Source organism: Homo sapiens, chromosome 7 (assembly GCF_000001405.40).
Source record: "Homo sapiens chromosome 7, GRCh38.p14 Primary Assembly".
In the NCBI taxonomy this organism is placed as follows: domain Eukaryota; kingdom Metazoa; phylum Chordata; class Mammalia; order Primates; family Hominidae; genus Homo; species Homo sapiens.
Genome location: NC_000007.14, coordinates 50804182 through 50820811, shown reverse-complemented (window position 1 = coordinate 50820811; position 16630 = coordinate 50804182). Strand labels below are relative to the sequence as shown.

The window sequence follows — 16630 nt, the reverse complement described above, 5'->3', positions numbered from 1 at the left end:
TTTAGTTAATATTTTAAAAGTATATAGAATAGTGCCTGGCACCTAATAAGTGCTATATTAAGTGTTTGATAAATACCTACAGTGACATCTTGCCAACAGTAATGACTTTTATTTATTAAATACCTACTCTCATGCAGCCACTTTATGCACTTTATTACATCTAATCCTCATAACCATGCTCCAAGGCATATCATTTTGAAGATGAAGAACCAGATTCAAGAGGTCAGATGGTTTGTCTGAGGTGACAGAGCAGGTGATAAGAGCTGGGATTGGAATTTGGGACTTTTGAGCCTAAAAACTGATCGCATGTTTCTTACAGCATTGCCCCTGATAGGATTTAAAAGTCACTTTTACTGAGTACTTATTATATATCTACCAATTTCACATATGTTGCTTCAAGGACTGCAACAACCCCTCTGGGTTGCTTGCTTCTATTTTCAGGCAAAGAACTGGGGCTCAGGGAAGGAAGGTACCTATGTGAGTAGTAGACCCAGGATTTGAATGCAGGTCTTTTGAGCCAAAGTTTTGCACTTTCCACATATTCCCAAAACCATAAGTATTCACATTTGTTGAACATGTACTCTGAGTAGCTTCCATGTTGTTATCCTCCCACGTTCCAGCTTTTCAATTAGAAAATCGTAAAGCCTATGGAGAAATTGAAAGAATAGAACAATGAATATCTAAATAACCTTCAACTAGTTTCAACAATTATTTTTATAACAAGAGGTTTCAAACATACAGAAAAGTTGCAAAGAAATATTAAATGAGACCAAGAAGGTCATGTTTCAATGATAAAGGGTACAACATGCACTAAGATCTAACTGTGATAAATATGTACACACTTAATAACAGCATCAAGCCGGGCGTGGTGGCTCACGCCTGTAATCCCAGCACTTTGGGAGGCCAAGGTGGTGGATCACAAGGTCAGGAGATCGAGACCATCCTGGCTAACACGGTGAAACCCCGTCTCTACTAAAAATACAAAAAAAATTAGCCAGGCGTCGTGGTGGGTGCCTGTAGTCCCAGCTACTCTGGAGGCTGAGGCAGGAGAATGGCGTGAACCCGGAAAGTGGAGCTTGCAGTGAGCCGAGATCGCGCCACTGGACTCCAGCCTGGGCGACAGAGCGAGACTCCATCTCAAAAAAATAAGTAAATAAAAATAAAAAATAACAGCATCAAAATCCATGAAGTAACTACCATAGGCGCATTAAGAGAACAAACAGAAACACATCAGGTATGAGACTTCATTTCTCTCACCTGTGAAAGATCAAATAAGGATGCAAAACATATGTAAGACTGAAACAAGGAGAGATGCTTAAAAGAGCATTGGGAGCATGGTGGAGGGCAGGGAAAGTCCTAATCCAGAGTGGCCGAGTGGGACAGTAATGAGCGAGTAAGCTTGGAAAGATGAGTATTCCAATCAAAGGGAGTGCTTAAGGACTGTACCTATTGCCTGAGAGAAGGCAATAAACTCCAAACTACTAACTGACAACATGAAAACACCAGCCCTTGGAGAAACTCCTCTCCTGCCTAAGTACAGATTCCCTTTCCCTCAACAAAGTGGCTTCTGCTTAAATAGTCAGGGTCAGATGTCTTCAGAAGTCAGGTAGATCAACATGTAAAGGACAAGGAAGCAGTTGACCGGCACTAAAGAACACAGCTCTGCCTAAAGACCATGTGGGCATTTGTTAAGCAAAGTGTAAGTCAAACAGTACACACCTGGAGACGATATTCTTTTCCAAGGGCCACAGCTTTTGTCCCCTGATTTGTACTTCAGTATTTTTTTTTTTTTTTACTTCTCCGGCCAAGGTCTGAGACAGAGATTATTTGAGATAGTTTACTACGTTGGGTAGAGAAAGAGATGTTTAAGGGGTGTAAGGTGTAGAGGTGTAATTGCATAAGGGATGTGCCAATCCCTGAACTGGATAAGGGTCCATGAGCAGAAATTCCAGGCATCTCTGGCTCCCCATAAATCCAATAAAGTGTTTTATTTGTATGTTCTAAACTATAACCTACAGCCATTAAACACACCCAAATAAAATGCAAGTACAAAATATTATATTCTATTTCAATGAATGTTATGATTTCTAAGTGTGTTGGTACCCATCGCCTTCTCTAAGCCTCACACACTCAAGATGTGAAGTATCTGCTTCATAATTCAGTCCAGATGTCAGCATCATGGCTGGGAGGAGAGTATGATGGAGACTGAATCCTCCGCCAAATATAATTCTCCACCTTTAGTGCCACTGGTGTGCTTGAGTGAGTGAACTAGTAGGGAAGTATGCCAGAGGAGGTTGCAAATCTTTGGAGGAAACCTGGCATGCGGCCACCACAAAGACAACAGCGGAAGGTGTATAGACAGCTGAGCTCATGGCATTTTTCTTGGCTACCTATGGTCTATGTAGTGCATATAAGTGACTCAAAAGTTCCCGGGTACCCGAGTAACACAGTATGCAAATGCTAAAACTATTATTGTAATGACAGAGGCCTGAGGTCATGATAAAGGTCACTACTAATAAGGACTCAAAACTGAGAAAAGGATTTCAGCTTCTGGCCAAGATAGAATAACAGGAACCAGATTTACCCTCCCATATGAAACAATTTAAAAACTAGACAAGATCCATGGAACAACAGCAGACTTCTTGTCGGAAGTATACAAACCAGAAACATTGAAACAACATCTTTTTTAAAAAAAACTCTTTATAGAGTTCCAAGTCTAATAATTTGTTTTCAGAAATAAAGGCAAATAAAAACATTTTCAGGCACTAAAAAGCTTCCAAACCATTCATTACCAGCAGAATCACAGTAAAGATGGAAATCTGTATTTATACAAAGGAATGAAGAGTATCAGGAATGATAGGTGGGCAAATATAAAATAACTTTTTCATGATTTAAAAAAATATTTTAAAAACATAATTGACTATTTAAACCAAAACAAATAAAAATGTTTTATGAGGTCTACAACATGGAGTAAGATGTATGACAAGAACAGCACAGAGGCCAAGAGGGAGAAAGAACGTCCTTGCTGTAAGGTTTGCTGTGCAAAGACACTGGACTTGGAGTTGAGGAAACATCTGAAATCATGGTTTCCTGTGGAATGTGGAGAGACTGTGGGAAAGTCAGGTAACTCTTCTGAGCCTCAGCTTTTTTCTTTTTTAAAATTGTAAATTGACAATTCATAATTGTATATAATTATGGGATAAAGAGTGACATAATGTATAAATACAATGTGGAATAATAAAATCAAGCTAGTGGCCGGGTGCGGTGGCTCACTCCTGTAATCCCAGCACTTTGGGATGCCAAAGTGGGCAGATCACCTGAGGTCAGGAGTTTGAGACCAGCTGGCCAACATGGTGAAATCCCGTCTCTACTGAAAATACAAACAAAGTAGGCAGGCATGGTGGCCGGCACCTGTAATCCCAGCTACTCGGGAGGCTGAGGCAGGAGAATTGCTTGAACCCAGGAGATGGAGATTGCAGTGAGCCAAGATCACACCACTGCACTCCAGCCTGGGTGACAGATCAAGACTCAGTCTCAAAAAAAAAAAAAAAGCTAGTTAACATATCCATCACCTTAAATACTAAACAATTTTTTGTGCTAAGAACATTTGAAATTTACTTTCAGTAATTTGGAAATGTACAAAACTCTATTATTAACTATATTCACCATGCTCTGCAATAGAACTCAAAAAAGAAGAAAAAATACTCTTCCTATTTATCTGAGATTTTGTACCCATTGATCATCATATTTCCTCCTTCTCCCACCCCCAGGCCCCGTAACCACCATTCTAGTCTCTGCTTCTTTAAGTTCAGTTGTTTTAGATTCCACATATAAGTGAGAACATGCGGTGTCTGTCTTTCTGTGGCTGACTTATTTCATTTAGCACAATGTTTTCCAATTCCATCCATGTTGTCACAAGTGACAGAATTTCCCCCTTTTTTAAAGCTAAATAGTATTCCACTGTGTGTATATGTACCACATTTTCTTTATTCATCTGTTAATGGACACTTAGATTGATTCCATAACTTGGCTATTGCAAACAGTGCTATAGCAAACACAGGGGCGCAGACATCTGTTCCACGAACTGACTTCAGATCTTTTAGGTAAATACCCAGAAGTGAGATTGCCAAATCATATGGCAATTCTATTTTTAGTTCTTTGAGGGACCTCCATATTGTTTCTCATAATGGCTGTACTCATGTACATTCCCACCAACAGTGTATGAGGGGTGCATTCCTCCACATCTTTGTCAACACTTATTATCTTTCACCTTTTTGACATTCTGACAGGTGTGAGATTATATATTATTGTGGTTTTAATATGCATTTCCCTAATGATTGTCCATGTTGAGCATTTTTTCATTATCTGTTGGCCATTTGTATGTCTTCTTTTGAGAAATGTCTATTTAGGTCCCTTGCCTATTTTTTTTTTATTTTCTTGTTATTGAGTTGCTTGAGCTCCATATATATATATTGGATATTAACCCCTTATCAGATGTATGGCTTGCAAATATTTTCTCCCAATCAGTAGGTTGTCTCCATACACTGTTGTTTCCTTTGCTGTGTAGAAGCTTTATAGTGTGATCTAAACCCATTTATTTATGCCTATGTTGCCTATACTTTGGGAGTTAACTCCAAACACTCATTTCAAAGACCAATGTTGTACAGTTTTTCCCCTATGCCGTCTAGTAGTTTTAGTGTCTCGTCTTATGTTGAAGTCTTTAGTCCATTTTGAGCTGATTTTTGTACACGGGGTGAGATTCTGTGAAAACTGGAATTCCACATGCAGAATAAGAATTTGAGACTCTGTCTCAAAAAAAAAAAGTCTCTTTTGCTCCAATTTTTTAAAGCAACAGAAATCTCTACCAATGTTATAACTTTCAGATATAAAAATCATGAATAAAATGAGAATTCGTCTGCATGTGGAATTCCAGTTTTCATGGAATGAATGAATTCTTCTGCATGTGGAATTCCAGTTTTCACAACATCACCATTTATTAGAGGCTGTCCTTTTCCTATTGCATATTTTCATGGAAACCTTTTCAAAAGTCTATTGACTATATATGCATGAGTTCATTTCTGGACTTGCTATTCTGTTCCACTGGTCAATGTATCTATTTTTTGCCAGTACCATGCTGTGTTAATTAATATAGCTTTGTAGTATAGCTTGAAATCAGGTCGTATGATACCTTCAGCTTTGTTCTTTTTGCTCATGATTGCCTTGGTATTTGGGGTTTTTTGTAGTTCCATATGAATTTTAGGATTTTTAAAAAATTCTATAAAAATAACTTTTGAGATGACTACTCTGTATTAATCTGTTCTCATACTGCTAATAAAGACATACCCAAGACTCACAGTTCCACATGGCTGGGGAGGCCTCATAATCATGGTGGAAGAGCAAGGGAGGTCTTACATAGCAGCAAGCAAGAGAGGGCTTGTGCAGGGGAATTCCCCTTTATAAAACCATCAGATCCTGTGAGACTTATTTGCTATCACATGAACAGCAAGGCAAAGACCCGCCCCTATGATTCAATTGCCTCCCCCTGGGTCCCTCCATGACATATAGTAATTGTGGGAGCTACAGTTCAAGATGCGATTTCGGTGGGGACACAGCCAAACAATATCATACTTAATGTATAGTCCATGAAGCATTTAAAACATTTCCATTGGCCAGGCGTGGTGGCTCACGCCTGTAATCCCAACACTTTGGGAGGCCAAGGCAGGCGGATCACCTGAGGTCGGGAGTTCGAGACCAGCCTGACCAACATGGAGAAACCCCATCTCTACTAAAAATACAAAAAAAATTAGCCGGGCATGGTGGCACATGCCTGTAATCCCAGCTACTCAGGAGGCTGATGCAGGAGAATCACCTGAACCCGGGAGGCGGAGGTTGCAGTGAGCCGAGATCACGCCATTGCACTCCAGCCTGGGCAACAAGAGCGAAACTCCGTCTCAAATAAATAAGTAAATAAATAAAATAAAACATTTCCAACTCAGGCCCTCCCTCAAATCTACTGAATCAGAATTTTCATTTTAACAGGTTTCCCACGTGACTCATAGGTACTGTCAATCAACGAAAATGACCAAGAAAGTCTCAATCATTTTAGGAGGTTTATTTGTCAAAGTTAAGGATGTGCTGAAAGACATGTCTATGCCTTTCTCTAAAGATGACTTTGAGAGCTTCAATATTTAAATGGGGAAGGGTGGGATATTGAGAAATACACAATTTTCATGTGAGAGGGCAGTAGGGGAAAACAGTCATTCATGCCTTTGTCTGGCTCAGTGAATCTGCATTTTTACATAAGATAATGGAAACAATAGGGCAGAGGAAACAATCAGATATGCATTTGTCTCAGGTGGGCAGAGGGATGTCTTTGAGTTCTGTCCTATGTCTCTGCACCTGTGAAGATAAGCTATCAATTTACGTTACCATGGTGAACTCTAACCGATAAGCTTTAGGGTAAAGCTCTTGGGGCCTGCAGGGAATTTCCTCGTGGCAAAATGTGAGGGAGGTATGTAGCCTTTCCTCTTTGTAGTCATCTTATTCAGGAACCAAAATGGGAGGCAGGTATGCATGACCCAGTTCCCAGCTTGACTTTTCCCTTTTGCTGAATGAGTTTGAGGTCCCAAGATTTATTTTCCTTTCACAGTACCATGAAGATTGAGAATCAATGCAATAGGACTCAGTTGACATGGTGTATAAACAGACACTTTTTAAAACTAAACACTGTATTAATGTTTTGTAATAACCAAGAAAATAGAAACTGGGCATTTCTCATTTATCATTATGATTGTATATGCAATAATTTTTCACTTTATTTTCAGCTTGAGATAATAGGCAGTTTTAAAATGAAAATTATAAAGCCTCAGGATTAACATGTTCATTGCTATTAAGAAAGTCTGGGGGCCGGGCATGGTGGCTCACAAACTGTAATCCCAGAACTTTGGGAGGCCGAGGTGGGTGGATCACATGAGGTCAGGAGTTCAACACCAGCCTGGCCATCATGATGAAACCCCGTCTCTACTAAAAACACAAAAAAATGTAAGCAGGCATGGTGGCGGGTGCCTGTAATCCCAGCTACTCTGGAGACTGAGGCAGGAGAATGGCTTGAACTTGGGAGGCAGAGATTGCAGTGAGCCAAGATCGCGCCAATGCAATCCAGCCTGGGCGACAGAGTGAAACTGTGACTCAAAAAAAAAAAAAAAAAAGGTGTCTGTTTTGCTCCAATTTTTTAAGGAACAGAAATATTTACCAATGTTACACCTTTCAAATATAAAAATCATGAATAAAATGAGGATTCAATCAACTACATCCTTGTTTCCCCAAGTTGGCTGATAATAAAAATAACTGCACTCTTTGTTGGTTTTATTCTTAAGTGTGAGTTACTTTAGTTTGAAACTGCTGTAGATTAGGGAGGGTGGAGTACAAGTAGTGTTAACCATGGGGAAGAGAAGATTCCTTGGCTGTGGCCAGAGCAGGGCCTTCCTACACCTGGAGGGAGCAGAGCAGAAGCTTCCTGCAGCTCCTGAGCTCAGAGACAGCAGTGGCTTCTCTGTGCAGGATGCTGAGTTCACTTCACGGGCTTTGTGAATTCTACAAGGCTACAGTTGATATGTAAGGCTGTCTATTTCTTTTTGTAGCATAAAACAGGAGGGGAACCCTGTGCTCCAGGAGGTTGCTGCTTCCTTTCTCATTTTGAAGGATGAACAAGTGGCCTCTGGTCACCTAAGGGTGTAGGCCTCAGGACCTGATGTCATCTTGGTTCCTGGCCAAGGCTGGGAGTTTCCTGGAATGTGGGCAGGGCCTGGGCCTTGGAGTTCCCATTACTGCATGCTACATGATGCATGGACAGGCAAATTGGGTCTGGTAAGCTTGCTGCAAGTTGGCCCTTTGGGACTGGATTTTCATTTGGGTTATCTTCTCAGGACCCTGGCTATGATTCCCTTGCCTCTGGAGGGGTGGGGGAGGTAGGGAATATTCCACAGTTTAGGGTAGGGATAAAAAATCTACTTATAACTATTGCCCCAGGTAAATGGCCTGCTTGAGTTTCTGATTCAGTAGTCTGGGTCTGGGGCTTGCACTGAGAAATTGCTTTTCCAAGGAGTTCCCAAGTAATCTTGATCCTGCTGGTTGGCAAATCTCACTTTGAAAACAACTGATCTAGGAAGTGATTAACAGTTTATAAAGCCCTTTCATGCATTCTATTGTGACTGAGTACCCCCGTTTTTCTAAGAGATTGTTTAATTATATTTTTCTTCTTTTCCTGTTTCTGTTTCCCCACTTCCTCACCTTTCCGAAATGCAAATATATAGCCTTTTACCCCCGCTCCCCCACTCCATCTCCGTAGGGAGATGCCTCCATCTCCCTAAGGGGGCAAGTTCATCTAACTATGGGCTTCAAGGTGGAACCCCTGAGAGTTAACAGTTGATTTACAAAACAAAGTATCCCCACTAGGGAGCTCTCACCCTACAGGAGGTTGCCTTGAGGGATAACAGCCTGCCCACGAATGCGCTAGCAGTCACTGGTGGCACTGGAGCTGGCATGCAGAGCTCTCTGCCCTTGCTCACTTCCTCCCCTGCCTTTTAAAAGTGGTCGCTTTCTGCTCCAAAAGTGAAGTGGCACATTTAAAGGCAGGATGCCTGTGCCTCTTCCCCTAAGCTAGTTTGAGAATAAATCACTTTCTTTATACCAGACTCTGCATGCGGTAAGCAACTAACCTGCTTATTGCTAACCTGTCTCATTGAATCCAGGTAACTAAAAAAGTATTAAGTTAAAATGGACTGGATTTCAGGAGTGCTGTGAATAATTCTGGTGGGAATACTATAAGACAGAGGGAAGGGTGAGAGTTTTGAATAGCTAATGTTCACTGAGCACTGCTTTGTTCCAGGCGCTGGGGAAACACTGGTTCAGAGAAGTTAGATAATTTGCCTGAGATTGACCAGCTGGAAATAAGAACAATTTGAACTCCAGAAGTCTGGCTCCTAGGTCCATGACCACCTTCATACCCTGGTGTTGCCTTTATTACAAATGACAATAAAATACTTGCTACTCCAAAAGTACTGGTGATAATTAAGCTTAAATTCCAGATCCTGGCACAGTCCAGCGGCTTGTAGTTTTAAAGAACAGTTTCTTTTAGTTTCAAAAAACACAGGCTCACTCAAATTTACCTTGGGTAAAGCAAGAAACGTGTAGACTAAATCTCAAAAGTTGCAGAAAGCAAATGAGCTTCATCAACCAATTCTCTCTCTCTCTCATTGTAGGCTCTTCCTTGTGTTACCTTAGCAAATCTCCATTTTCTTCTATTTTTGGGTTTCCACTGCTTATTCACATGTGATCTCATGACATTGTGTTGTCTGATACCCTCACTGTAAACTAGGTCAGTCCTACCCTATTTCCCAAATAGATGTTCTAGGCAAGAATTAGAGAGATTGGGGGATTGTTTCAATCTTGGCCATCTCACTGGTCATTCACTGGCCTCTGAATTGGCTACCTTGGCTCTGGTGACTATCAATGGCCTAATTAGCTATGGTGGTCTCATTGTATAAATCACAGCAGAGTGCAATAAGTTTGCTCATTAAATGAATTATTTCAACTTTGAAATAAAAATGTTTTGAGATATCACATATACCCTATTATAGTGAAGGCATACTTATTTCCACTAAGCCCCTTTTCTGGGTGCAACCGTGCCTTGTGCTATTTCTGCAGAGCTCAGTGTGGGGAAGGCTGCCAGGGACTCTCCCAAGGTCCAGAACAAGGGACCAAGGTCATAGCTGCCCTCCATAGCTGCTGCCACATAAACCCATTTCCTCAGGGACTGGGACAAATTGCATGGCACACCTACTATTTGTCTAGGAGTGAAAACGTAGTTTATGTAAATATCAAATGCAGTCTTAACCAATGGAATCTGCACCAGGAAATCTACCTGGAGCACTGAGGAGATAGCAATGCTGCAGGGAGATGCTGTCCTGGAAAGTCACAGATGTGTGTCAACTGTTGTCTCCTGTCCTCACAAGCAACTACAGAACCCAACAAAGTCACAGGCCTGGGGAAGTGGTCAAATTTTTCACACATCAGGACATCTCTGGCACTAAGGTAACCGTTTTGAACCAATATCATGACTGCAGTTCAGTTTGAAGCATTGGAGCCCCTCCTTAAAGCCAGACAGGTGTCAGTGCTGGTGTAAAAGGAGAGTGGGATTGAATCTGGGCCCCCAGAGCCCTGTTAGATGGGGAAGATGGACATTAAATAGCCCAGCTATGTCTGGGATGACTTCTGGGTCTTGATCTTTCTACGCCAGTTGTTCTCAAAGGCCAGCATGCCAGAACTGGTTAGGGCACAGATCTCTGGAGCACCCCCACAAAGATCTGATTTTGCAGGTCTGGGTAGGGCCCAGGAATTCACATTTCTACTAAGTTTGCAAGAGGCGTGGATGCTGCTGGGCTGAGGACAACACTTTGAGGAACAGCTCTACTCAGCGTAGCCTGGGGCAGGTTATTCTGCCTCCTGCTCAGGCGTGCAGGTGCAGTCAGTTGTGGCACCAATGACTGCAAGAAGAAAGGAGTCTGGGATGACAAGCTCCATGTGGGACATGCCATGCTTGAAGTGTGTGCAGGGGGCCCGGGGGAAAATGTCTGGAAGGTGGTTGCAAACAAGAGTCTGGAGCTCAGGGAGTAGGCTGAATTGCAGCCATTGGCACATCAGTGGAAAGGAAGGTGGCATGACTCGGGAAGAGTTACAGGGTTCGACAAGGAGGACTCATTCTCATGGTCTCACCCTCCCTCCCCCACACACACCCTGGCCATTTGTCTTCAGCACTCCGCATTCATGGCATTCCCTGGAGCACGGACAGGACCCAGATCGTGGGGACCTGTCAGGCACCTGCTTCCTGAAACTTCTCTTTGTAAGTCTTGCCTCAGTTTGTGGCCTGGTCTGGCCCTGCAGGTGTCCCTCCTGGAGGTTCCAGGCCAGCCCTGGCACCCTACCTAGAATTCCTCAGCCTTGGTTCCTGGGCAGTAAAAATGCTGGGATGGAACAAGGGGACCTGGGGGCAGGTAAGTGGTAGAACCTAGAGGAACAGGGAGGAAGAGGAGGAGGGACAGAGGATGCAGCTGGACAGAATGCAAGTCCTGTTTCTGCAGAGGGAAAAGGCCAGCTTCTGACGTGGCTGAAGACTCAATCTAAGGCCTCTTCCAGGAGGATGCTTCAAGGATCTTTTGATCAAGGATGACCACTGGAGGCCAGCACACACTAGACCACAGGTCTTGGTTTAGGTGGAGGGGAAGTAAATAATTCCATTACTCTTCAAGCCTAGGAAATTCTGAAAAGCAGCTAAAAAAAAGCAAAAGGTGACCTGTGGCCAGGGTTGGAAGCCACCACTGCAAGAGGACATGCATAGAGCAGTGAGCTGGGGATGCTGTGGACTGAGCTGTATCCCCTAAAATCCATAAGTTGAAGCCCAAACCCCAATGTGACTGTATTTGAAGATAGGGTCTAGAAGGTGGTAATTAAGGTGAAAGGAGGTCATAAGAGTAGGCCCTAATCCAACCTAACTAGTGTCCTTATAAAAGGAGATTGGGACACGGACACTCAGTGGGCAGACCCTGTAAGAACACAGGTGCATGGGCTGGGGAGAAACTAGTCCTGCCCACGCCTTGGGCAGGCTTTTTTCTCGGACTTTGGCTTCCAGAAGCATGAGAAAATAAGGGTCTATTGTTTAAGCCCCTCAGTCTGTGATATGTTCTTATGGGAGCCTGAGCTGGCTAAGACACTCCATGGGAGAGACTCCAGGTGGGTCAGTGAAGACCACATTTGTAGGCGGTGCCGTGTGGGGATCACCACTTGAGAACAAGCCTTGAGGCTTTTGTCACTGCTGCGAGATCCATGTCAGGAAGTCTTAGACCAGAAAGAGGGTGGTTTATGACCTGTGAATGTGGTTGGTCTCCCCTAAATTCAGGCTGTTAGGGGAGGCTGCCCATTGATGAGACTGCAGCTGATCCAGGGTGTAGCAGTTAAGCTTGCAGACAAATGCCTGCGACAGAAAACCCCAATATATATGTCAAAGAGGCGGGGCACCCAGACATCTGTGGATTAGTTCTCACCAGCGTTCATAGTACTGGACTGGACAAGCCTCAGCAGGCCTGCCAGGGCCACGCTCCTTCCAGGGGAAGCTGCTGTGCCCGCAGACCTGCTGCTCGGGCAGCTGTGCTTCCCTGTGGTTGCGTGGCTCTTTCATGGTAACACCCCTACTGCAAGGGTGCAAGGAAGGAGATGTGACCGGGGTGGCATGCGGATGCCAGGCCACCCAGCCCAATCCCCCTTCTTCGACGAATGGGCTCACTCTTCCAGCTGCTGCCAGTGTGAGTGGCCAGCCGTGCCCAGTGGAGTCCCTCTGCAAGGCGTGCCTGCGCTCAGGTGCCCTTGCTGGGGGCAGCCACATCCAATGGCTGACTGACAGGGGAGTGGTCATCATGAGAACCCCACCTCTTTGCCCCAATTTAGGAGATGCCAACACAGAGCTGCCCACAGGGTCAGCTGAGACTTCTGTGACAGTGTTGCCATTCAACACCATCTTCAACTCTTACTTTGTTCCTTCCCTCCCACAGGTGATCCTGAGAACACCCTCCAGTGACTGTCCTGTGCACTGATCTCCACCTCTAAGTTGGCTTCTCTCACCTCAGAGCAGACCATCTATGGGCCGACCCTATAACCAGACTTATAACCAGAGGTTTGGGGGGCCAGTAGAGGCCCATTTCACTTCTATTTTTACAGGCACCTGGTATAGAAAAATGAAAAAAAAAAGCTATATCAGGATTACAAAATTTGTGGTACATTTTCAATGTTTATATTAAATATGTTAAAACTTTTTAAAAAGTAGACAAATGTAATATGATCTTGCTATGCATGAGATAATTATAAGGCTTAATAAAAGATATGCATTCACAGTGACCACATACAGAAATGAGACCTGGTTTAAAGTAGTATGTTTAAAGTAGTATGTTTAGTGTAAAGCAGTATGTATCTTCTTTCAAACTTTCCAGGTTTCGTATGAAGTTTCATGCACATGTGTTGTAAAGTGTTAAGGCAACAGCTCCCAAAGCACACTAAGTCACATGTCTGCACCCACGGGCATCACTCTCCCAAACTGGCCAACATAACCCTAGCAAATAAGATGCAGCAGGAGCACGGAGAGCCCCTGGCCACCAGGACTTGCCCTCTCCACCTCCCTGAGACAACGTCCTGCAAGTGCAGGACGATATCCCATGGAGGAACACAGCGGATGTTCCACCTCAGGCCCCCGGCCTGCACACCCCAGCAGGCGGCCCCAGCCCCAGCCCCAGGGCAGGAAGGATCCCAGGGGAGGCCGGCAGAAGCACCGTGCTGTTAGGCCCAGTCTAAATCACTGGTCTAGAAAATTGTGAACAAATTAGATGGTGGTGGTTTTCAGTCACTAAGTTTTGGGCGTGGTTTGTAAAATCCCATTTGGAGATCAAATTTCAGTTGACCCTTGAACAACACTGGGGCTAGGAGCACTGACCCCTGCACAGTCAAAAATTCACACATAACTTTTGACTCCCCACCAACTTAACTACGAATAGCTGTTGGCTGGAAGACTTACCGACCACATAAGCAGTTGATTCACACATATTTCATTACATGTGTCATATTCTGTATTCTAACACTAAAGTAAGCTAGAGAGAAAAAGAATAACATTAAAAAGGCTGGGCGCAGTGGTTCATGCCTGTAATCCCAGCACTTTGGGAGGCCGAGCCAGGTGGATCACCTGAGGTCAGGAGTTCGAGACCAGCCTGGCCAACTTGGCGAAACCCCATCTCTACTGAAAATACAAAAATGAGCCTGGCATGGTGTCGCACACCTGTCATCCCAGCTACTTGAGAGGCTGAGACAGGAAAATCGCTTGAACCTGGGAGGTGGAGGTTATAGTGAACTGAGATCGCGCCATTGCACTCCAGCCTGGGCAACAGAGCGAGACTTCATCTCAAAAAAAATAAATAAATAAAAATTTTTAAAAATTAAAAAATAAAGTTAGAGAAAAGAAAATGTTATTATAAAACTTATAAGCAAGAGAAAATGTATTTATTCTTTGATAAGTGGAAGTGGATCATCGTAAAGGTCTTCAGCTTCGTCTTCACCTTGAGGCTGAGGAAGAGGAAGAGGAAGAGGAGGGGTTGTTCTTGGTGCCTCAGGAGTGGCAGAGGAGAATGAAAACCCATGCCTAAGTGGACCCACCCAGTTCAAACCCATGTGGCCAAAGGGTCGACTGTCAACTAAATTTGATTCCTTTCATGACCGAGCCCTCCTGCCCCATCATAGGCCCTACCCGTGCCCTGGCCTTGTGTGAAATCAGACTTAGACTAAGGAGACAGCCAGTTGAGGAATATGGACTATGGAATCTGACAGATTGAGCTTGCTGAAGGTGGAAATCAACACTGCAAGGAAATCGGCCAGTTGGTGCCGCAGGAGCCACAGCCGTCCTCATGAAAGCCAGTGATGAGGGGCAGACCACAGGGAGCAGGTGCCAGCCAGCAGACCTGGACGCAGGAGAAGGGAAGGGGGCAAGGTGTGGCGGCACCCACCAGCAACAGCGACCCCCCTGCACTCACCAGCAACAGTGACCCCCCTAGAACAGCTGCTGCCTGTCCTCCCAGAAAGATTCCCCTTAATGAGCCCTTTCTGTTCAGTTAGCTGGCATAAGTCCTTTCTTCCTCGACTCTAATAAAAGAAGAAAAGGAAACAGCAATGTTCTAGTGAGATGTGTAATGGATTTGAAAAAAAAAAAATGGCTTGCCCAGGGGCATTTCTTGCGGTGCTATTCATAGCAGCCAAAAACTGGAAAAGGGCCAAGTGCCCCACAGACATGCATGTGGAGGGTGTCAATTCATAGAAAGGGGTGCCTGGAGGCAGCTGAAACCAAAACAGAATGCGAAACTCACTTCTGGCTATTGAGATGGAAACATGTACATCATATTTATTGGGAAGTGGCAAAAGGTTATCCAAATAGTTGACATTTCATGTATTTTTAACTCTTCCTGTAAAGTTGTGAATACAAGGGAAATTTAAATTAAATGATAGCTCTTCTTTCACAGATGGCTATAAAACGAGATGCTCAGTGCCAGGCAGCCTTGCTTCCTCTTTCTCTTTCTTTGGTGTATATCCACCAAAGTCGAGTTCCCCCATCTGGCTCTAGCTAGATGATGCCACAAGGGCTGAATGGTGGACCAGAGGATATGTGTGGTGAGTCCCTGTCAGCTGAGATTAGGGTGCCCAGCTCAAAACTCACCTTGCAGGCAGCCCTGCCCAGCCCTTCAAAGGACCTGTCAACATATCAGGGTGGGAACAGGCACAGGATGTCCTGTCCCATGCACAGAGTACTTACCTAGGTGGTCCATTCCTTGGACACTGCCATCGACTGACCAGGCTGTCATTCTGAGTCTCTTCTTCCCCAGAGAAGAAAGTAACTGAGGGCCATCCCTGGTCAAGCCATTCTCCTGGCAGGATGAGCCTGATGAACCATGGGCCTGGGAGTCAGGAGGATCCCAAGCATGTATTTATGGCTCACCTGGAGGGATGGTCCCCAGAGTTTATTGCTGGTGACACCACAGATCATTCCATTACATACATACAAATTTAATCCTAAGAAGCCACCCTATGGAGTAGGTGCTGTTATTTCCCCATCTCACAGATGAGGAAAGGAGGCAGAATAGGGGTCTCACCAGTGGTCGAGCAGGAACTGAACCTACTCCAGATATTACTAAGTTCCTCCACATGATGGAGGAAGTATAATCCCTGCTGACTGAGTCTTACCATGAGCCGCTATCTTGCTAGGCACTTCAGACCCATGGTCTACTTGATTTTGCCCACAGTAGATGGTCTCTGTATGATAACTGAGAATACTGAAGCTTGGAGTCATTGGGTGGCCAGCCTATGACCCATGGCAAATAAGGGGTGTGGCTGTATTGACCCCCAAATCTGTCCTCTTTACTGTGATAGGATTTCTCAGTAGCCCTTCTGGAAGAATGATTGTGCTTCATGACATATTCCTGAAAGACCCTAACTTGAGCATTCAGTTATAGCTCTGACTCTGGGATAGTGGGGGGTCCCTGAGTAGTGTCTCTTTGGGGGCTATGAAGGCATTTTGGCATCAAGTGTTGGAGAGTTCTGCTTAAGACTTTAGACAATTGATTAAGATGCTAGGAATGAATGAGGCTGACCCTGTTCCCTAAAATGCTTTGGAAAGCAAAGTGTTAACTGTGTAAAGATTTTTTTTTCCAAAACAACACAAATAGAGCAGAGCAGAATGGTAAGTGTATCTTCCAAAACACCCATGCTGTTTCAGGCCAGAGTCTCTGGGGGGAACTATAGGGTAGGGTGAATGGTCCACAGTCTCAGTGGAGGATTTGCACCCCTTTCCAGCCCCCACTCAGAGTTTGTGGCTTCCTGATGCACCTTCCCTGGCTGGGGACACTTCCTCCCTAGAAAAGAGTAGGTTAAATAATCAAGCAGCCCTGCCTTTTTCATGAATATTGGTATACCTGATGCTGTGATGGCAAAATGAACAGCAGCTTCTGTGCAGAAAGGCAACTCCATGATACTGCTCCTCTTTATAGAGTGG

At 44.2% G+C, this 16630-nt stretch overlaps 2 annotated features.

The window, feature by feature from the left end:
• Positions 7646 to 7940: an enhancer, noted in NCBI's record as "tiled region #14531; K562 Activating DNase unmatched - State 8:EnhW, and HepG2 Activating non-DNase unmatched - State 10:DNaseD". NCBI's record gives its function as "activates a minimal TATA promoter and a strong SV40 promoter by Sharpr-MPRA in K562 cells, with weaker activation in HepG2 cells {active_cell/tissue: HepG2 | K562}" and the evidence as "EXISTENCE:reporter gene assay evidence [ECO:0000049][PMID:27701403]".
• Positions 12247 to 12754: an enhancer, noted in NCBI's record as "H3K4me1 hESC enhancer chr7:50875755-50876262 (GRCh37/hg19 assembly coordinates)". NCBI's record gives its function as "activates a minimal SCP1, AML or CMV promoter by ChIP-STARR-seq in primed H9 embryonic stem cells {active_cell/tissue: H9 hESC(primed)}" and the evidence as "EXISTENCE:reporter gene assay evidence [ECO:0000049][PMID:30033119]".